Here is a 17129-nt window from a genome sequence, read left to right on the forward strand (position 1 = left end):
GGTATAACCAATAATAATTCTAGGCGGGGCGTGGTGGCTCACGCCTGTAATCCTAGCACTTCGGGAGGCCGAGGCGGGCGGATCACCTGAGGTTCGAGACCAGCCTGACGAACATGGAGAAACCCCGTCTCTAATAAAAATACAAAATTAGCCGGGCGTGGTGACGCATACCTGTAATCCCAGCTACTCGGGAGGCTGACGCCGGAAAATCGCTTGAACCCGGGAGGCGGAGGTTGCAGTGAGCCGAGATCGCGCCACTGCACTCCAGCCTGGGCAACAAGAGCGAAACTCCGTCCCAATAATAATAATAATTAATAATAATAATAATAACAATAATAATAATAATTCTAAAGGGAAGCAGAGGGATCTGGCGGGAAAGTGCCAGCAAACCTAACAGGCCTCCACAAGTGTCTTTAAAGTTTCATAGGGGTCGGTATATGTGATTAACTGCCAAAGAAGAATATTCGCCGTGTGTCCGAAACGCAGTCCCCTGGGGCGCCACACTCGGAGCCTACTTGAACCGAAGAGTCCCTCCCTGGGCCAACGAAGGACCCAATTCCCCTCGCCCCGGATCCAGCCTCTAAGTGGTTTCCCGGGTAAGGTCAGCAGAGGTCCGCCGCCTCAACCAGTCTTGTTAGAGTAGGCACAAAAGCATTCAGAGTGACTGCCACTGTAGCCACTCAACGCCGAGCCTAGGCCTGCTTTTTTTGCAGTTAGAGTGAAACTTTCCATTGGTGGAGTCACCCCAAAGGAGGCGGGACGGAGCGGGAAAGTCCTGCCTACCTTGGCCTTCCCAGCCAATCGCAGCATCTATGCGTCAGCCTCCGGTTCGGTTGCGCTGCGCGTAGTGGTCTGGGCGACCTGAGGGCGGGGCCGGGAGCAGGCCCCGGGCTGTGGGGAGGGTGCGCTTCCCGCGGGCGCGCGGAGTGAGGACGGTGACAGCCACGCGCGCGCGTACGCGCCCGATGCAGCGCGGCCCCGTGACCCTAGTCGGCCGCTGAGAGGCGCGCGGAGTCTGGGCCGCTGCCGTCTAGGGGTCCCGTCCCGAGGCGTCCCCGGCATCTCCGGCCCGAATCCCGGAGTGCCGGGTCGCGCCTGCACCGAAGGTCCCGGCTCCTGTGCCCTCCCTGCAGCCGTCAGGGCCCGTCCCCCAACTCCCCTTTCCGCTCAGGCAGGGTCCTCGCGGCCCATGCTGGCCGCTGGGGACCCGCGCAGCCCAGACCGTTCCCGGGCCGGGCAGCCGGCCACCATGGTGGCCCTGAGGCCTGTGCAGCAACTCCAGGGGGGCTAAAGGGCTCAGAGTGCAGGCCGTGGGGCGCGAGGGTCCCGGGCCTGAGCCCCGCGCCATGGCCGGGGCCATCGCTTCCCGCATGAGCTTCAGCTCTCTCAAGAGGAAGCAACCCAAGACGTTCACCGTGAGGATCGTCACCATGGACGCCGAGATGGAGTTCAATTGCGAGGTAACCGGCCGGCAGCCCCGACTGCTGCGGTGACAGTCGAGGTGGAAGCTCGAGAGGTTCTCTTTATATCATCTTATGGGTGTAGCTAGAGACGGGCAGAACCGGAAGGGCCAACTAGGCCCAAAACCTCATGTTAAAGATGATTGCTGCTTTTTTTCATAGGACTTTTGGGTTTTGGCATTTCCTGAAGGTTATTTTCATTCATTGTTATTGGAAGAAGCTGGATGCTCCTGTGATAGAAAATTCAGGATTTCAGTGTCAGGCTTAAGTTAGGCTTACGCTTAAAAGCTTGAAAGTTTATTCTTTCATTAGGTAATATTGTTATGTACCCAGGTATTAGAAGTTGCGTCTTGTTTATTGGAAAGCCAATACTTGTTTCCCTTTTCTAAAGCTTGCATATTCTGGGAAAAAAAACCCTTTGAAGAACGATATAACATCTCATACTTACTTTCCACATAGTTTCCAACATGATGATAACAGCTATCAATTGTTCAGTATTTTCAAAGTGCTAGACATTTGCACATTTAATCCTCAGAACAAACCCATTTATCTAGTAAATGGCAAGGTGGGGTTTTGAACCAAGCTCACAGCCCGTACAGTACTGCTTCTCAAGTAATTTAAGTTCTTGCTGCTAAAAGTGTGGTTTGTGGACCAGCAGCATTGGCAGCAGTAAGCAAGGGTTGGCATGCTTTTTCTGTACAGGACCACATAGTAAATATTTTCAACTTTGTAGACTAGAGAATCTCTGTTGGAGTTATTCAACTCTTCAACTCTACCATTGTAACACAAAAGCAGCCTTAGATAAGATCAGCTTCCAGCATGACAGCTTAAGGAACCCATTCCTCTGTAAAACTGGTGAAAATTCTTTTTTGTTTTGTTTCGTTTTGAGACAGAATCTCACTCTGTCACCGAGGCTGGCATGCAGTAGTGTGATCATGGCTTACTGCAACCCTGACCAACCTCCCTGGCTCAATCAGTCCTCCTGCCTCAGCCTCTCGAGTAGCTGGGACCACAGGCGTGTGCCACCACACCTGGCTAATTTTTTTTTTTTTTTTTTTTTTGAGACGGAGTCTCGCTCTGTCACCCAGAGTGCACCGGGCTAGAGTGCAATGGCGCGATCTTGTCTCACTGCCACCTCCACTTCCAGGTTCAAGTGATTCTCCTGCTTCAGCCTTCCAGGTAGCTGGGATTACAGGCGTGCGCCACCTCGTCTGGCTAATTTTTCTATTTTTAGTAGAGACAGGGTTTCACCATATTGGGCAGGCTGATCTCGAACTCCTGACCTCGTGACCAGCCGACCTGGGCCTCCCAAAGTGGTGGGAAAGTGGTGCGATTACAGATGTGAGCCACCCCGCCCAGCCTCACCTAGCTAATTTTTGTAAAGACAGGGTTTTGCCATGTTGCCCAGGCTGATCTTGAACTCCTGAGCTCAAGCAATCCACTCGCCTTGGCCTCCCAAAGTGATGGGATTACAGATGCAGCCACCACGCCTGGCCCAAAAATTCTTTTTTTAAAATCAACTATTTAAACCCTCCGGCAATGGTCCTGAGGGCAAACAACAAATGAAAAAACACCTATTCAAGAAAATCTACAAATTCGGTAAGAAAGATGAGAGGGTATGGTATTTGAACCAAGATCATTCCCTCCTTACTCACTCCTAGCTTAGTGAGGTGGAGCTTCTACTCCAGACTATTGCAAACTGTAATACCGGGCACTGCTCCCCCAGCTCCCAATCAAATGCTTTCTTCCCAGGAAAAGCAGGACATCAGCATTTCTCATCCTACCTAGAGCTACTTGTTGCTGAGGTTAAAACCTGTGTGAGTGCAATTGAAAGTTGGAGCTCTCTTTTTTTTTCTTTTGAGACGGAGTTTTGCTCTTGTTGCTCAAACTGGAGTGCAATGGTGTGATCTCGCCTCACCGCAGCCTCTGCTTCCCGGGTTCAAGCGATTCTCCCACATCAGCCTCCCAAGTAGCTGGGATTGCAGGCTTGCGCCACCATGTCTGGCTAATTTTGTATTTTTAGTAGAGGCAGGGTTTCTCCATGTTGGTCAGGCTGGTCTTGAACTCCCTACCTCAGGTGATCCACCTGCCTCGGCCTCCCAAAGTGTTGGGATTATAGGCGTGAGCCACTGTGCCCTGCGAAAAGTTGGAGCTCCCTTCTTCCACCTAGTCCCTACTTGTGGAACAGGACTGTACCTTGGACATGACATACTGAAATTACTGGTGCCCCAATTGCTCATCCCCCAGTTCTTGCAGGCTGAGCCTCAGGTTATTGCGGTCCCCTGCCTCCTTCCACCAAGTGCTCAGTTCCTAGAGTGAGGGTATTTCTCAGAGAGAATCTTTCCAGGGTCCTTCCCCACAGCTCCAGAGCCTTGGCTCCGGGATTTTGCCTCAGGAGAGAAGCAGGCCCTAAAACAGATAGCTCCTAATCTCTTTCCAATGGCAGTGACTTCATTTGCAACACAGTGTGGAGAAATTCATGCCTAAGGGCAATCTGGAGATGTGAAGGTTTTGGTAAGAGGCAACTGGGAGATCTGCGGATTTAATGGAGATGCAGCCTAGACTGTAGGCCTCCTGGTTTGCTGGAAAGAATTGGGGAATAAGACAGCTGGAAGAAGCCATTCTAGGATCAGAAGAAGGATCAAACATTGACCGCAGCATGGTGGCTCACGCCTGTAATCCCAGCACTTTGGGAGGCTGAGGCAGGCAGATCATCTGAGGTCGGGAGTTTGAGACCAGCTTGACCAATATGGTGAACCCCATCTCTACTAAAAATACAAAAATTAGCTGGGCATGGGGGCATACACTTGTAATCCCAGCTACTTGGGAGGCTGAAGCAGGAAAATCACGTGAACTGGGAGGTGGAAGTTGCAGTGAGCCAAGATCACGCCACTGCACTCCAGCCTGGGTGACAGTGAAGCTCTGTCCTGTCACAAAACAAAACATTGACCACAGACCTCTGAGGTGGTGGATGTCCCTCCTGTCCTGGTTGTATCATTATACATTGTATATTAATGTATCGAAATACTACAGGTACCCCCAACATGTGTACAACTATTATGAATCAATAAAAAACAATTTGAAAAGTAAGGTATGTGGCAGAGGTGGAAAAAAATGCTTTCCTCCAAACAGCCACAATTTGATTGTATCAGTTTGTAGAGTAAGAGCAAGTTATGCCTCAGTGTGTTGTTGAAAATAATAGAACAATATGCCACAATTAGTGGAGCTTCATAGCTGGGTGTGGTCAAGGAGAGAATAGAAGAGAACCCTACCAAAACCACTGTCATCCCAGGGTGACTGTGAGCATACCCAAAGCTGCACCTCCCTGAAGAGCAATATCATAGGCCTTAACACTTTTCAGGGGAAATGGATTTCACTCAAATAATCCAGCCAGTCGCTAAACAAATAAATAACAATTGGCCCTGGAGAGGGGGTACCAATCCCCAGAGTTGCTACAGTATATTATCTAAAATGTCCAGTTTCCAACAAGAAATTGTGAGACGTACAAAGAAACAGGAAAATATGACACATACACTGGAAAAAAGCTGGCAGCAGCAACTGCCTGTGAGACAAGGGGCCAAATTAATGAAAAAGGCTTCAAACTGGCCTATATATATATTCACAGTACTATATATATTCACAATACTAAAGGAAAATATGATGACAAAGAAGTAAAGGATGGTATGACACTGTTGCATCAATTAAAGAATATCCATAAAGATATAGAAATTATAAAAAAAGAATCAAATGAAAATTCTGGAGTTGAAAGTACAATAACAGCTGGGCGCGGTGGCTCACACCTGTAATCCCAGCACTTTGGGAGGCTGAGGCGGGCGGATCACCTGAGGTCGGGAGTTCGAGACCAGCCTGACCAACATGGTAAAACCCCGTCTCTGCTAAAAATACAAAAATTAGCCAGGCGTGGTGGCCGGCACCTGTAGTCCCAGCTACGCGGGAGGCTGAGGCAGGAGAATTCCTTGAACCTGGGAGGCGGAGGTTGCAGTGAGCCAAGATCGAGCCACTGCACACCAGCCTGGGCAACAGAGCAAGACTCTGTCTCAAAAAAAAAAAAAAAAAAAAAAAAAGTACAATAACAAATTTAAAAATTAACTAGAGGGACTCAGGACTCAATAACAGATTTGAACTGGGTGAAGAAAGAATTCGTTAATTTTTTTTTTCTTTTTGAGACAGAGTCTCGCTCTGTTGCCTAGGCTGGAGTGCAGTGGGGCAATCTCGGCTCACTGCAACCTCTGCCTCCCTGGTTCAAGCGATTCTCCTGCCTCAGCCACCGCACAGTGGCTTTGGGAGTACTCTGGGAGGCTGAGGTGGGTGGATCACCTGAGGTCAGGAGTTCAAGACCAGCCTGGCCAACATGGTGAAACCCCATCTCTACAAAAATACAAAAATTTAGTTGGGCATGATGGCGGGTGCCTGTAACCCCAGCTACTTGGGAGGTTGAGGCGGGAGAATTGCTTGAACCCGGGAGGCGGAGGTTGTAGTGAGCAGAGATCGTGCCACTGCCCTCCAACCTGGGTGACAGAGCGAGACTCCATCCCTGCCCTGAAAAAAAAAAAAAAGATGTGAAACACATACAAAAAAAAGTAAAATGGCAGTTGAATGCCAAGTAATTAGATAACTTCAATAAAATGGACAAACTCCTAGAAAGATATAAACCACCAAAATTGACCCAAGAAGAGACACTATCTGAATAGACCTATAACAAGTAAAGATATTAAATTAGTAATTGAGGGGACTCGTGGGGTAACTTGCCCTTGGGAACCAGTAGTATGGCATCGGGCTGCAAGATTGGCCTGTCCATCCTCAATGCTACCTGGCCAATTTAGGGGCCCAGTGCCTCTGGATGCTAGACTCTGGGGTCGATTATCTCCACCGGAATGTAATGGATGAACATGCATGTGATGGTGTCCAAGCCAGAACAGTGGGTAAAGCCAATGGCTATAAGAGGAGCCAATCAGTACATCTTTCATCTCGAGGAAACTGAGAACCCAGGGGCTTTGATTAAAGACATTCAGGAGAATGGGATGAAGGTTGGCCTTGCCATAAAACCAGGAACCTCAGTTCAGTATTTGGCACCATGGGCTAATCAACTAGGTATGACCTTGGTTATGACAGTGGAACCAGGGTTTGGAGGGCATAAATTCATGGAAGATATGATGTTAAAGGTTCACTGGTTGAGGATCCAGTTCCCATCTTTGGCTATAGAGGTCGCTGGTGGAATAGATCCTGACACTGTCCATAGGTGTGCAGAGGCGAAGCTAACATGATTGTGTCTGGCAGTGCTATGGTGAGGAGTGAAGACCCTAGATCTGTGATCAGCCTGTTAAGAAACATTTGCTCAGAAGCTGCTCAGAAAGATTCTCTTGATTGATGAAACCTTAAGGAGCCCAATGTTTGTTTATGAAATCTCCTTTTTACTGGAAAACAGGAATATTGACTACCAAATCATAGTGTAGTTGAAGCCATTCTGCGTTTTTGAGCAGTTATTCGTTTCAGTGATTATAATTGATTGTGCAGAGTATTCTAAGAAGTTAGAAATTGGTGTGTATAACTACATTTTCAGTGATGCAATTTAATGATTAGTGAGTGAGATACTGTTTTTATTGAGAGCCTTGATTTTTATAAAGAGTAAAAATATGGCTGCATTAAGGGTACAAACAGAAAAGTGTCTTAATGTCTAAGGAGGGCATATTAGCTACACTATAAAAACAATTTTTTTCTGTATTTCTGAAAAGAATTTTGTTGTTTCTCAGTTGTTTTCCAAAAGCAAAGGAAGTCTTAATGTTTTTTTCTATTTCGTGTTATGTGTGATTTGTTTATATGCTTGGTAATATGAGTCTAATGGAATTTAAAAATATAAGTTTGGGTAGGATAGTATACCCTTAAAAAATAAATAAATAATTAGAGAGAGAGAGAGAGAGAGAGACCTGGGCACAGTGGCTGTTGCCTGTAATCTCAGCACTTTGGGAGGTCAAGGCAGGAGGATCCTTTGAGGCCAGGAGCTTGAGACCAACCTGGGCAACATAGAGAGACCCCAACTCTAAAATATACATACTATATCTAAACTCAGCTAGGCGTGGTGGTGTGAGCCTGGAGTCCCAGCTACTCAGGAGGTTAAGGTGTGAGGATCACTTGATCCCAGGAGGTTGAGGAGGCAGTGAGCTATGATTGTGCCACAGTGCTTCAGCCAGGGTGACAGAGTGAGACCCTGTCTCTTAAAAAAAAGAAAAGAGGCTGGGTGCAGTGGCTCATGCCTGTAATCCCAGCACTTTGGGAAGCCAAGGTGGGCAGATCACGAGGTCAGGAGTTCAAGACCAGCCTGTCTAATATGGTGAAACCCCATCTCTACTAAAAATACAAAAATTAGCCGAGCATGGTGGAGTGCGCCTGTAGTCCCAGCTACTCGAGAGGCTGAGGCAGGAGAATCGCTTGAACCCGGGAAGTTGGAGGTTGCAGTGAGCTGAGATTGCGCCACTGCACTCCAGCCTGGGTGACAAAGTGAGACTCCATCTCAAAAAAAAAAAAAAAGAAGAAAGAAAAGCAAAGCAAAGCCCAGGCCTGTACCTACTAGAGGTCCTGATAACTTCACCACTGAATTCTATCAAACATTTCAAGAAAAATTAATACAGTTCTTCACAAAGTCTTCAAAAATGAAAAAGAGGAGAAAATACTTACAAACGAATTTTATGAGACTGGTATTACCCTGTTGCCAAAAACCAGGAAAAGACATTACAAGAAAAGAAAACCATAGACAAATATATCTTACAAATGTGGAAGCAAAAATCCTCAACAAAAATACTAGCAAACTGAATCCAGTAACATATAAAAATAATTATATACCATAAACAAGCAGGATTTATTCCAGGAGTGCAAGGTTGGTTTAACATCCAAAAATGAATTAGTGTAAATAATGTAATGCATTATATCAATAGAATAAAAAACAAAAATCACCTTGTCATCTCAGTAGACACAGAAAAAGCATTTGACAAAATTCAGCATGTTTTTCATGATAAAAACACTAAATAAACTAAGAAGAGAAGAGCAGTTCCTCAACCTGATACACAGCAGTTATGAAAAACCCACAGCTAACTTCATAATAGTGAGACTGAGGCCAGGCACAGTGGCTCACGCCTGTAATCCTAACACTTTAGGAGGCCAAGGTTGGAGGGATCACTTGAGGTCAGGAGTTCAAGAACAGCCTGGCCAACATGGTGAAACCCTGTCTCTACTACAAATACAAAAAAAAATTAGCCAGGTGTGGTGGTGCATACCTATAATTGTAGCTACTTGGGAGGCTGAGGTGGGAGGATTGCTTGAACCTGGGAGGCAGAGGTTGCAGTGAGCTGAGATAGCACTACTGCACACAATAGGCTGGGCGACAGAGCTCAAAACAAACAAACAAACAAACAAAATAGTGAAAGACTGTATGCTTATCCTTAAGATTAGGAAAAAGAGAGATAAGTCTACTTTCACTACTGCTATTCAGCATTGTACTGGAGGTTCTAGCCAGGGCAATTAGGCAAGAAAATGCAATAAAATACATCTATGTTGGAAGGGAACAAGTAAGATCATCTCTGCAGATGACATGATCTTGCATATAGACCCTGAGGAATCCACTACCAAAGTATTGGAACTAATAAATTATTAGTTTAGTAAGGTTATAGGATACAAGATCATTACACAAAACTTAGTTGTAAATGTATCCACTTGGAATGAACAATCTGAAAAGGAAATTAAGAAAATTCCATTTACAATAACCTAAAAAATAAAAATACTTATAACAAAAGAGGTATCTTTTTTTCCATCCTCTGACAGTTTAGTAAAAGAAAGTATAAAACTTATACTCTAAAAGCTGTAAAACATTTTTGGTTTTGTTTTTTAAATTAATTTTTTTTGAAACGGAGTCTCACTCTGTCGTCCAGGCTGGAATGCGGTGGCGCGATCTCGGCTCACTGCAACCTCTGCCTCCCAGGTTAAAGCGATTCTCCTGCCTCAGCCTCCGGAGTAGCTGGAGCTACAGGTGTGCACCACCATGCCTGGCTAATTTTTGTATTTTTAGTATAGAGGGGGTTTCACCATGTTGGCCAGGCTGGTCTCGAACTCCTGACCTCAGGTGATCCACCCGCCTCAGCCTCTGAAAGTCCTGGGATTACAGGCGTGAGCTAGTGCGCCCAGCCTGGCCTTTTAAAATATTTAATTAATTGATTTTTTTTTTTCTCGGACTTGCACTGAAGTGAGAACAAGTGCAGTGGTGCAATCATATCTCAGTGCAGCCTAGACCTTCCAGGCTTAAGTGATCCTCCTATATCAGCCTCCCAAGCAGCTCAGACCACAGGCATGCGCGATCATCCCTAGCTTTTTTTTTTTGTTTGTTTGTTTTTTAATTTCTTGTAGAGACAGAGTCTCCCTGTGTTACCCAGGCTGGTCTTGAACCTGACCTCAAGCAACCTCCCATGTTGGCCCCTCAAAGTGCTGGGATTACAGGTGTGAGCCACCGTGCCTGGCCTGTAAAACATTTTTAAAAGAAAGAAGATATAAATAAATAAATAAATAGAAAATAGCTCTTGTTCATGGATCATAAGACATAACGTTGTCAAATTGGCAGTATTTTGGAAATTGATCTACACGTTTGACATAATCCCTGTCAGAATCCCAGTTTATTTCATTGTAGAAATTGACAAGTCTCCAGGCGTAGTGGCTCATGCCTGTAATCCCAGCACTTTGGGAGGCCGAGGCAGGCGGATCACCTGAGGTCAGGAGTTCAAGACCAGCCTGGCCAACATGGAGAAACCCTGTCTCTACTAAAACTACAAAATTAGCCGGGTGTGGTGGCACATACCTGTAATCCCAGGTACTCGGGAGGCTGAGGCAGGGAATCGCTTGAACCTGGGAGGCGGAGCTTGCGGTGAGCTGAGATCACGCGCCACTGCACTCCAGCTTGGGCAACAAGAGCGAAACTCCATCTCAAAAAAAAAAAAGAAATTGACAAGTCAATTCATAAATTCCTATGGAATCGCAAGGGACCCACAATAGCTAAATCTTGAAAAAGAACAAAGCAGAAAGACTCACGCTTTGTGATTTCAAGACATACTATAAAACAACTAATCAAGACAACGTCACCAGGCACCGTGGCTTATGCCTATAATCCCAACACTTTGGGAGGCCAAGGCAGGCAGATCACTTGAGGACAGGAGTTCGAGACCAGCCTGGGCAACATGGCGAAATCTTGTCTCTACCAAAAATACAAAAATTAACCGGGCGTGGGGGTGCACACTTGTAGTCCAAGCTGCTTGGGAGGGCTGAGGCACAAGAATCCCTTGAACCCAGGAGGTGGAGGTTGCAGTGAGTCGAGATCGTGCTATTGCACTCCAGCCTGGGGGACAGAGCGAGATTCCATTTCAAAAAAATAAAAATAAAAAGACAGTGTGGTACTGGTATAAGGATAAATGTGTAGATCAGTGGCATAGAATTGAGAGTCCAGAAATAAACCCAGTGGAATAGAGTTGAGAGTTCATGGTCACCTGATTCTTGACAAGGGTGCAAAGACCATTCAGTGGGGGAGAACTGTCTTGTCTTGTCTTTTCTTGCTACATGCCACAGACTGTGAGAAGGAATAGTCCTTTCTTTTCTTTTTTCTTTTTTTTTTTGAGATGGAGTCTCGCTCTGTCATCTAGGCTGGAGTGCAGTGGTGCAATCTTGGCTCACTGCAACCTCCGCCTCCTGGGTTCAAGTGATTTTCCTGCCTCAGCCTCCTGAGTACCTGGACTACAGGCGCCTGTCACAACGCCCGGCTAATTTTTGTATTTTTAGTAGAGATAGGGTTCCACTATGTTGGCCAGGCTAGTCTCGAACTCCTGACCTCGTGATCCACCTGCCTCAGCCTCCCAAAGTGCTGGGATTACAGGTGTGAGCCACCGCACCCGGCCGGAATAGTCCTTTCAACAAATGGAGCTGAGACAACTGGATAGCCACATGCAAAAAAAAGAAGAAATTAAACCCTTACCTCACACTACATACAAAAATTAACTCATGGCTGGGCACGGTGGCTCACACCTGTAATCCCAGCACTTTGGGAGGCCAAGGCAGGTGGATCATGAGGTCAGGAGTTCAAGACGAGGCTGGCCAACATGGTGAAACCCCATCTCTACTAAAAATACAAAAAGTAGGCCGGGTGCGGTGGCTCAACACCTGTAATCCCAGCACTTCGGGAGGCCGAGGTGGGTGGCTCACGAGGTCAGGAGATCAAGACCATCCTGGCTAACATGGTGAAACCCTGTCTGTACTAAAAATACAAAAACAAAATTAGCTGGGCGTGGTGGCGGGCGCCTGTAGTCCCAGCTACTTAGGAGGCTGAGGCAGGAGAATGGCGTGAATCCAGGAGGTGGAGCTTGCAGTAAGCCGAGATCGCACTACTGCACTCCGGCCTGGGCGACAGAGGGAGACTCCATCTAAAAAAAAAAAAAAAAATTAGCTGGGCATGGTGGCGGGCACCTGTAATCACAGCTACTTGGGAGGCTGAGGCAGGAGAATCGCTTGAACCCAGGGGTGAGCTGAGATCACGCCATTGCACTCTAGCCTGGGTGACAGGGTGAGTCTCCATCCCCCACCCAAAAAAAAGCTTAAAATGGATCAAAGGGCCAGTTGAGGTGGCTCACCCCAGTAATCTGAGCACTTTAGGATGTTGAGGTGGATGGATCACTTGAGGCCAGGAGTTTGAGACCAGTCTGGCCAACATGGTGAAACCCTGTCTATATTAAAAATACAGAAATTAGGCTGGGTGTGGTGGCTCATGCCTGTAATCCTAGCACTTTGGGAGGCTGAGGCAGGTGGACTGCTTGAGGACAGGAGTTCAAGACTACCTTGGCCAACATAGCAAAACCCCATCTCTACTAAAAATACAAAAATTAGCCAGCCGTGGTGGCATGCTCTTGTAGTGCCATCTACTCTGGAGGCTGAGACATGAGAATCACTTGAACTCGGGAGGTGGAGGTTGCAGTGAGCTCAGATTGTGCTACTGCACTCCAACCTGGGCAACAAAGCAAGACTCTGTCTGGAAAAAACAAAAACAAAAACAAAAAACAAATGTGGAGAAATGTGAACCCTTTTACACTGCTGGTAAGACCGTAAAATGGTGCAGCCAGTTTGAAAAGCAAACTAGTTAGCCAGGCATGGTGGGTCATACATGTAATTCCTGCACTTTGGGAGACCAAGGTGGGAGGATCACTTGAAGCCAGAATTTTGAGACCAGCCTGGGCAACAGAGTGAGACCTTTTCTCTACAAAAAATTTAAAAATTAGCCAGGCGTGGTGGCTTGCACCTGTAGTCTTAGTTACTTGGGAGGTTGAGGTGGGAGGATCACTTGAGCCTGGGAGAGGCTATAGTGAGGCATGACTGCACCACTGCACCTCCAGCCTGGTAATCAAAGCGAGACCCTGTCTCAAAAAAAGGAAGACAATTAGCTGGGTGTGGTAGCGTTCCTCTGTAGTCACAGCTACTTGAGAGGCCAAGGTGGTAGGATTCCTTGAGCCCAGAATTTTGAGGTTGCAGTTAGCTGTGATTGTGGTGCTATACTCCAGGCTGGGCGACAGAGTGAGACCCAGTCTCAAAAAAGATAAAAAGAAAAACATGGTGGCAGTTCCTCAAACAGTTAAACACAGAGTTACCATATAACCCCACAATTCAACTTACAGATGTCTTCTCAAGAGAAATGAAAACATAGCTTTACGAGAAAAACTTATATGTGAATGTTTATAGTAGTATTATTCATAATAGCCAGAAGGTAGAAACAGTTCAAATATACATCAGCTGATGAATGGATAAACAAAATGTGGTCTATCCTTACTATGGAATTACTTGGCAATAAAATAGAATGAAGTACCAGCACGTGCTTCAACATGGATGGACCTTGAAAACACTATGCTATGTGAAAGAAACCAGCCGCAAAAGAACACATATGATTCCATTCATATGCAAATCTAGGATAGGCATATCTACAGAGACAAAGTAGATCAGTGGTTGTTCAGGGCTGGGAAAAATGGGTGGGGTAGAGGGTGTGATAGCTGAAATATACAAGGTTTTATTTATGAAGTGATGAAAATACTCTAAAACTGACTGGTGATGGTTGTACACACTGAATGTACTAAAAACTACTGAATTATACACTTTAAATGGGTGAATTTTAGGGTATATGAATTATATATCAAGATGTTTAAAAAAAACCTTAGGCAAAATGTAAACAATGGGCATGACTGTGTTCCAAGAAAACTTTATGGACACAGAAATTTGAATTTCACATAATTTTCACAAGAAAATAAACATTAAAAAATGTAACATGCTGGGCACTGTGGCTCACGCATGTAATCCCAGCACTTCGGGAGGCCGAGGTGGACGGATGACGAGGTCAGGAGTTTCATACCAGCCTGGCCAATATGTAAAACCCTGCCTCTACTGAAAATAGAAAAATTAGCTGGGCGTGATGGCACACGCCTGTAATCCCAGCTACTCGGGAGGCTGAGGCAGGAGAATCACTTGAACCTGGAAGGCGGAGGTTGTGGTGAGCTGAGATCACGCCGTTGCACTCCAGCCTGGGCAACAAGAGTGAAACTCCGTCTCAAGAAAAAAAAAAAAAAAAAGTAAAAATCATTCTTAGTTCTCAGGCCACACAAAAATAGGTGGTGGGTTGGATTTGTCCTGTGGGCCATAGTTTGCTGATCTCTGATCTAAGTTACTATTTGATAGATGTTAGATGTTGTGAGAGGGTAAGAGAGACTAGCCTATAAGGAAAGGGATTTTAGTTTTTTGGGGGTTTTTTTTTTTGAGACGGAGTCTCGCTCTGTCGCCCAGGTTGGAAAGCAATGGTGTGATCTCAGCTCACTGCAACCTCTGTCACCCAGGCTCAAGCGATTCTTCTGCCTCAGCCTCCCAAGTAGCTGGGATTACAGGCATGTGCCACCATGCCCGGCTAATTTTTGTATTTTTAGTAGAGATGGGCTTTCACCATGTTGGCCAGGCTGATCTTGAACTCCTGACTTCAGGTGATCCGCCCTCCTTGGTCTCCCAAAGTGCTGGGATTACAGGTGTGAACCACTGTGTCCATCCAGGAAAGGGATTTTGTATGACATTTTTCAGCCGCAATTTTGCCAGGAAAAGCTCTTTTTTCTTCATTAAGTAGATTCCAGACCCAAAGATGTTGGACAGTATTATCAGCTAGAGCAAGGTTTTTCAACCCTGGCACTATTGACATTTTGGCTGGATGATTCTTTGTTGTGGGGAGCTGTCTTGTATGTTCTAGGATGTTTAGCAGGATCTCTGGCCTCTACCTACTAGATGCCAGTAGCATTCCCCCACCCCATCCCAGTTGTTGTGACAACCAAAAATGTCTTCAGACATTGTCAAGTGTCCCTGGGGTAGGGAGGACACCCTCCAATCTCCTCTTTCTCCCTACCCAACCTCCATGACCACATTGAGAACCACTGATCTATAGAAAAGGATAATAGTAGTGACATTCAGAGAGGCAGGATGGTATAGTGCAAAGCTTGCCAAACTTTAATTTTACATAAATGACCTGGGGAATCTTGGAAAAATGTAGGTTCTGATTCAGTAGTTCTGGGATGGAAGTGAGAATTTTGTATTAATAACAAACTCTCAGGTGATGATACCTGTGCCACCGGCCCAAGGACCACACTTTGAATAGCAGAGCAGTAGTAGAAAGTGCATCGGCTTTGAAAGAAGACAGACCTGGGCTTGAATTCTAGCTAAAATACTTCTACTTTGGACAAGTTACATAGCTCTCTGGACCTTATTTTCTCATTGGTAAAATGAGACTAATAATGCTGACCCTGCAGAGTTCTTATAAGGATTCATGGAATGCATAGTCCCTGGCAGAAAGGAAGATATAGGAGGGACTATAATTGGCCTAAAGTAGGAGGCTCTGGTTACCATGGGCACTGCCCTGTTGTGATTTATCAAGCCATTACACCTCACTGAACCTCAGATTTCCAGTGGAAAAACCTGTTTGTAAACCATGTTCACATATTCTGTTGAAAGTAATCATAGTTTGATTTATGATGATAGGGCTCAGGTAAGTGATTAGTTTTATTCTCCTGCCTGCTTTTTATGTTGTCCATTAATGAGCAAGGTGCTGATGCAAGGAGATGGCAGATGCATTTTGAAAAAAAAGGAGAGAGAGAGTACTTGTAGAATTCTTGACTTTATTGAGGTCAAATGTAGGTGGCTTTTCAAGAAGGACTCAATTTCAGAACCGGTGGCATTTAACATATGAGTCATGTTACCTTATGCTAATAAGTTCAGACTTTTTTTCTTTTTACTGCAGAGATAGGGGGAAAAATCTCCTGCACTACTTGCTGCATTGCTCAATTGGCTGGATGCTTTGGAAGATTTTTCCACTTGAAAGATTTGTTGTTTGTCATTTTGAGAAAGTGGGTGCTGAGTGTAATTTGCCAGGAGGCTAAACGGCTATGTTATTTCTTATCTAGGCTGGAATTTTACTCTAATAATTCAATCTATCAGTAAGAAAAGCCAAATAGGAAGTTGTAAGAGATCCTAATACTATCTTATATTGAAAACAAAGCCTCCTTCTCCTGTTGTTTGGCATTCTAAATGTTTTCACATACCTAAGTGAGATTATGATTGTATTAAATACCAACATTGCAGATCATTCCAGCATACAAGTGGACGTAAGTTGTCCATAACAGAAGGAACTTTCTAAAGGGGAAGACAGATAGAACAATTCTGGCATTTTCAGTAAAATCTTAAATCCTAGGCTCCCTAGGACCAGGCAAACCATCCCCTTCAAGGATGTAAACTCTGGAGGGCAGTGTAGTTGTACAGGGTAATAGTTCTATACTCTATATTAGTGCAACAAGAAACTTCTATTCCTGTTTCAGAAGTAAGACTGTTATCTACCTTTTTTTTTTTGAGATGGAGTTTCACTCTTGTTGCCCAGACTGGAGTGCATGATCTCAGCTCACCAAAACCTCTGCCTCCTGGGTTCAAGTGATTCTCCAGCCTCAGCCTCCCGAATAGCTGGGAATACAGGCATGTGCCAACACGCCCTGCTAATTTTTAGATTTTTAGTAAAGACAGGGTTTCTCCATGTTGGTCATGCTGGTCTCGAACTCCTGACCTCAGGTGATCCACCTGCCTTGGCCTCCCAAAGTGCTGGGATTACAGGCACGAGCCACTACGCCTGGCCTGTTATCTACCTTTTTACCGCTGTGCTCTCCCATGGGTTTTTTTTGTTTGTTTGTTTGTTTGTTTGTTTTGAGATGGAGTCTCGCTCTGTTGCCCAGGCTGGAGTGCAGTGGCGTGATCTCAGCTCACTTCAACCTCTGTCTCCTGGGTTCAAGCAATTCTCCTGCCTCAACCTCCTGAGTAGCTGGAATTACAGGTGCCTGCCATCATGCCAGGCTAATTTTTGTATTTTTAGTAGAGATGGGGTCTTACCATGTTGGTCAGGCTGGTCTTGAACTCCTGACCTCATGATCTGCCTGGCTCGGCCTCCCAAAGTGCTGGGATTACAGGCATGAGCCACCGTGCCCGACCTCTCCCATGGGTTTTAAGTAGTGCCTATGGATGGCATGGGTGCCACTACTCAGGTCTAGGACAGGCAGGGGTGAGTGATGAGTGCGT

General features: G+C 45.7%; 1 protein-coding gene and 1 pseudogene across 24 annotated transcripts in view, besides 4 other annotated features; both read left to right on the top strand.

The window, feature by feature from the left end:
* Positions 367-496: an enhancer, noted in NCBI's record as "active region_18817". NCBI's record gives its function as "activates an Ori minimal core promoter by ATAC-STARR-seq in GM12878 lymphoblastoid cells {active_cell/tissue: GM12878}" and the evidence as "EXISTENCE:reporter gene assay evidence [ECO:0000049][PMID:35858748]".
* Positions 747-1326: a silencer, noted in NCBI's record as "silent region_13595". NCBI's record gives its function as "represses an Ori minimal core promoter by ATAC-STARR-seq in GM12878 lymphoblastoid cells {active_cell/tissue: GM12878}" and the evidence as "EXISTENCE:reporter gene assay evidence [ECO:0000049][PMID:35858748]".
* Positions 904-17129, top strand: part of NF2 (NF2, moesin-ezrin-radixin like (MERLIN) tumor suppressor) — a 95045-nt gene continuing 78819 nt past the window's right edge. For 23 of the 24 annotated variants that reach the window (NR_176267.1, NM_001407056.1, NM_001407053.1 and 20 more), the window contains exon 1: positions 981-1460. Coding sequence is in view for 19 of the 24 variants with exons in the window: in NM_181832.3 (NP_861970.1) it covers positions 1347-1460 (114 nt within the window). In the remaining 5 variants the exon portion in view is untranslated. Of the gene's footprint in view, positions 1461-17129 lie in introns of all 24 variants that reach the window. The other variant, NM_016418.5, reaches the window with a different exon arrangement.
* Positions 3704-4225: an enhancer, noted in NCBI's record as "NANOG-H3K27ac hESC enhancer chr22:30002345-30002866 (GRCh37/hg19 assembly coordinates)". NCBI's record gives its function as "activates a minimal SCP1, AML or CMV promoter by ChIP-STARR-seq in naive H9 embryonic stem cells {active_cell/tissue: H9 hESC(naive)}" and the evidence as "EXISTENCE:reporter gene assay evidence [ECO:0000049][PMID:30033119]".
* On the top strand, positions 6209-7042 carry RPEP4 (ribulose-5-phosphate-3-epimerase pseudogene 4; annotated as a pseudogene).
* Positions 11311-11811: an enhancer, noted in NCBI's record as "H3K4me1 hESC enhancer chr22:30009952-30010452 (GRCh37/hg19 assembly coordinates)". NCBI's record gives its function as "activates a minimal SCP1, AML or CMV promoter by ChIP-STARR-seq in naive H9 embryonic stem cells {active_cell/tissue: H9 hESC(naive)}" and the evidence as "EXISTENCE:reporter gene assay evidence [ECO:0000049][PMID:30033119]".

Source organism: Homo sapiens, chromosome 22 (assembly GCF_000001405.40).
Source record: "Homo sapiens chromosome 22, GRCh38.p14 Primary Assembly".
Lineage (NCBI taxonomy): Eukaryota > Metazoa > Chordata > Mammalia > Primates > Hominidae > Homo > Homo sapiens.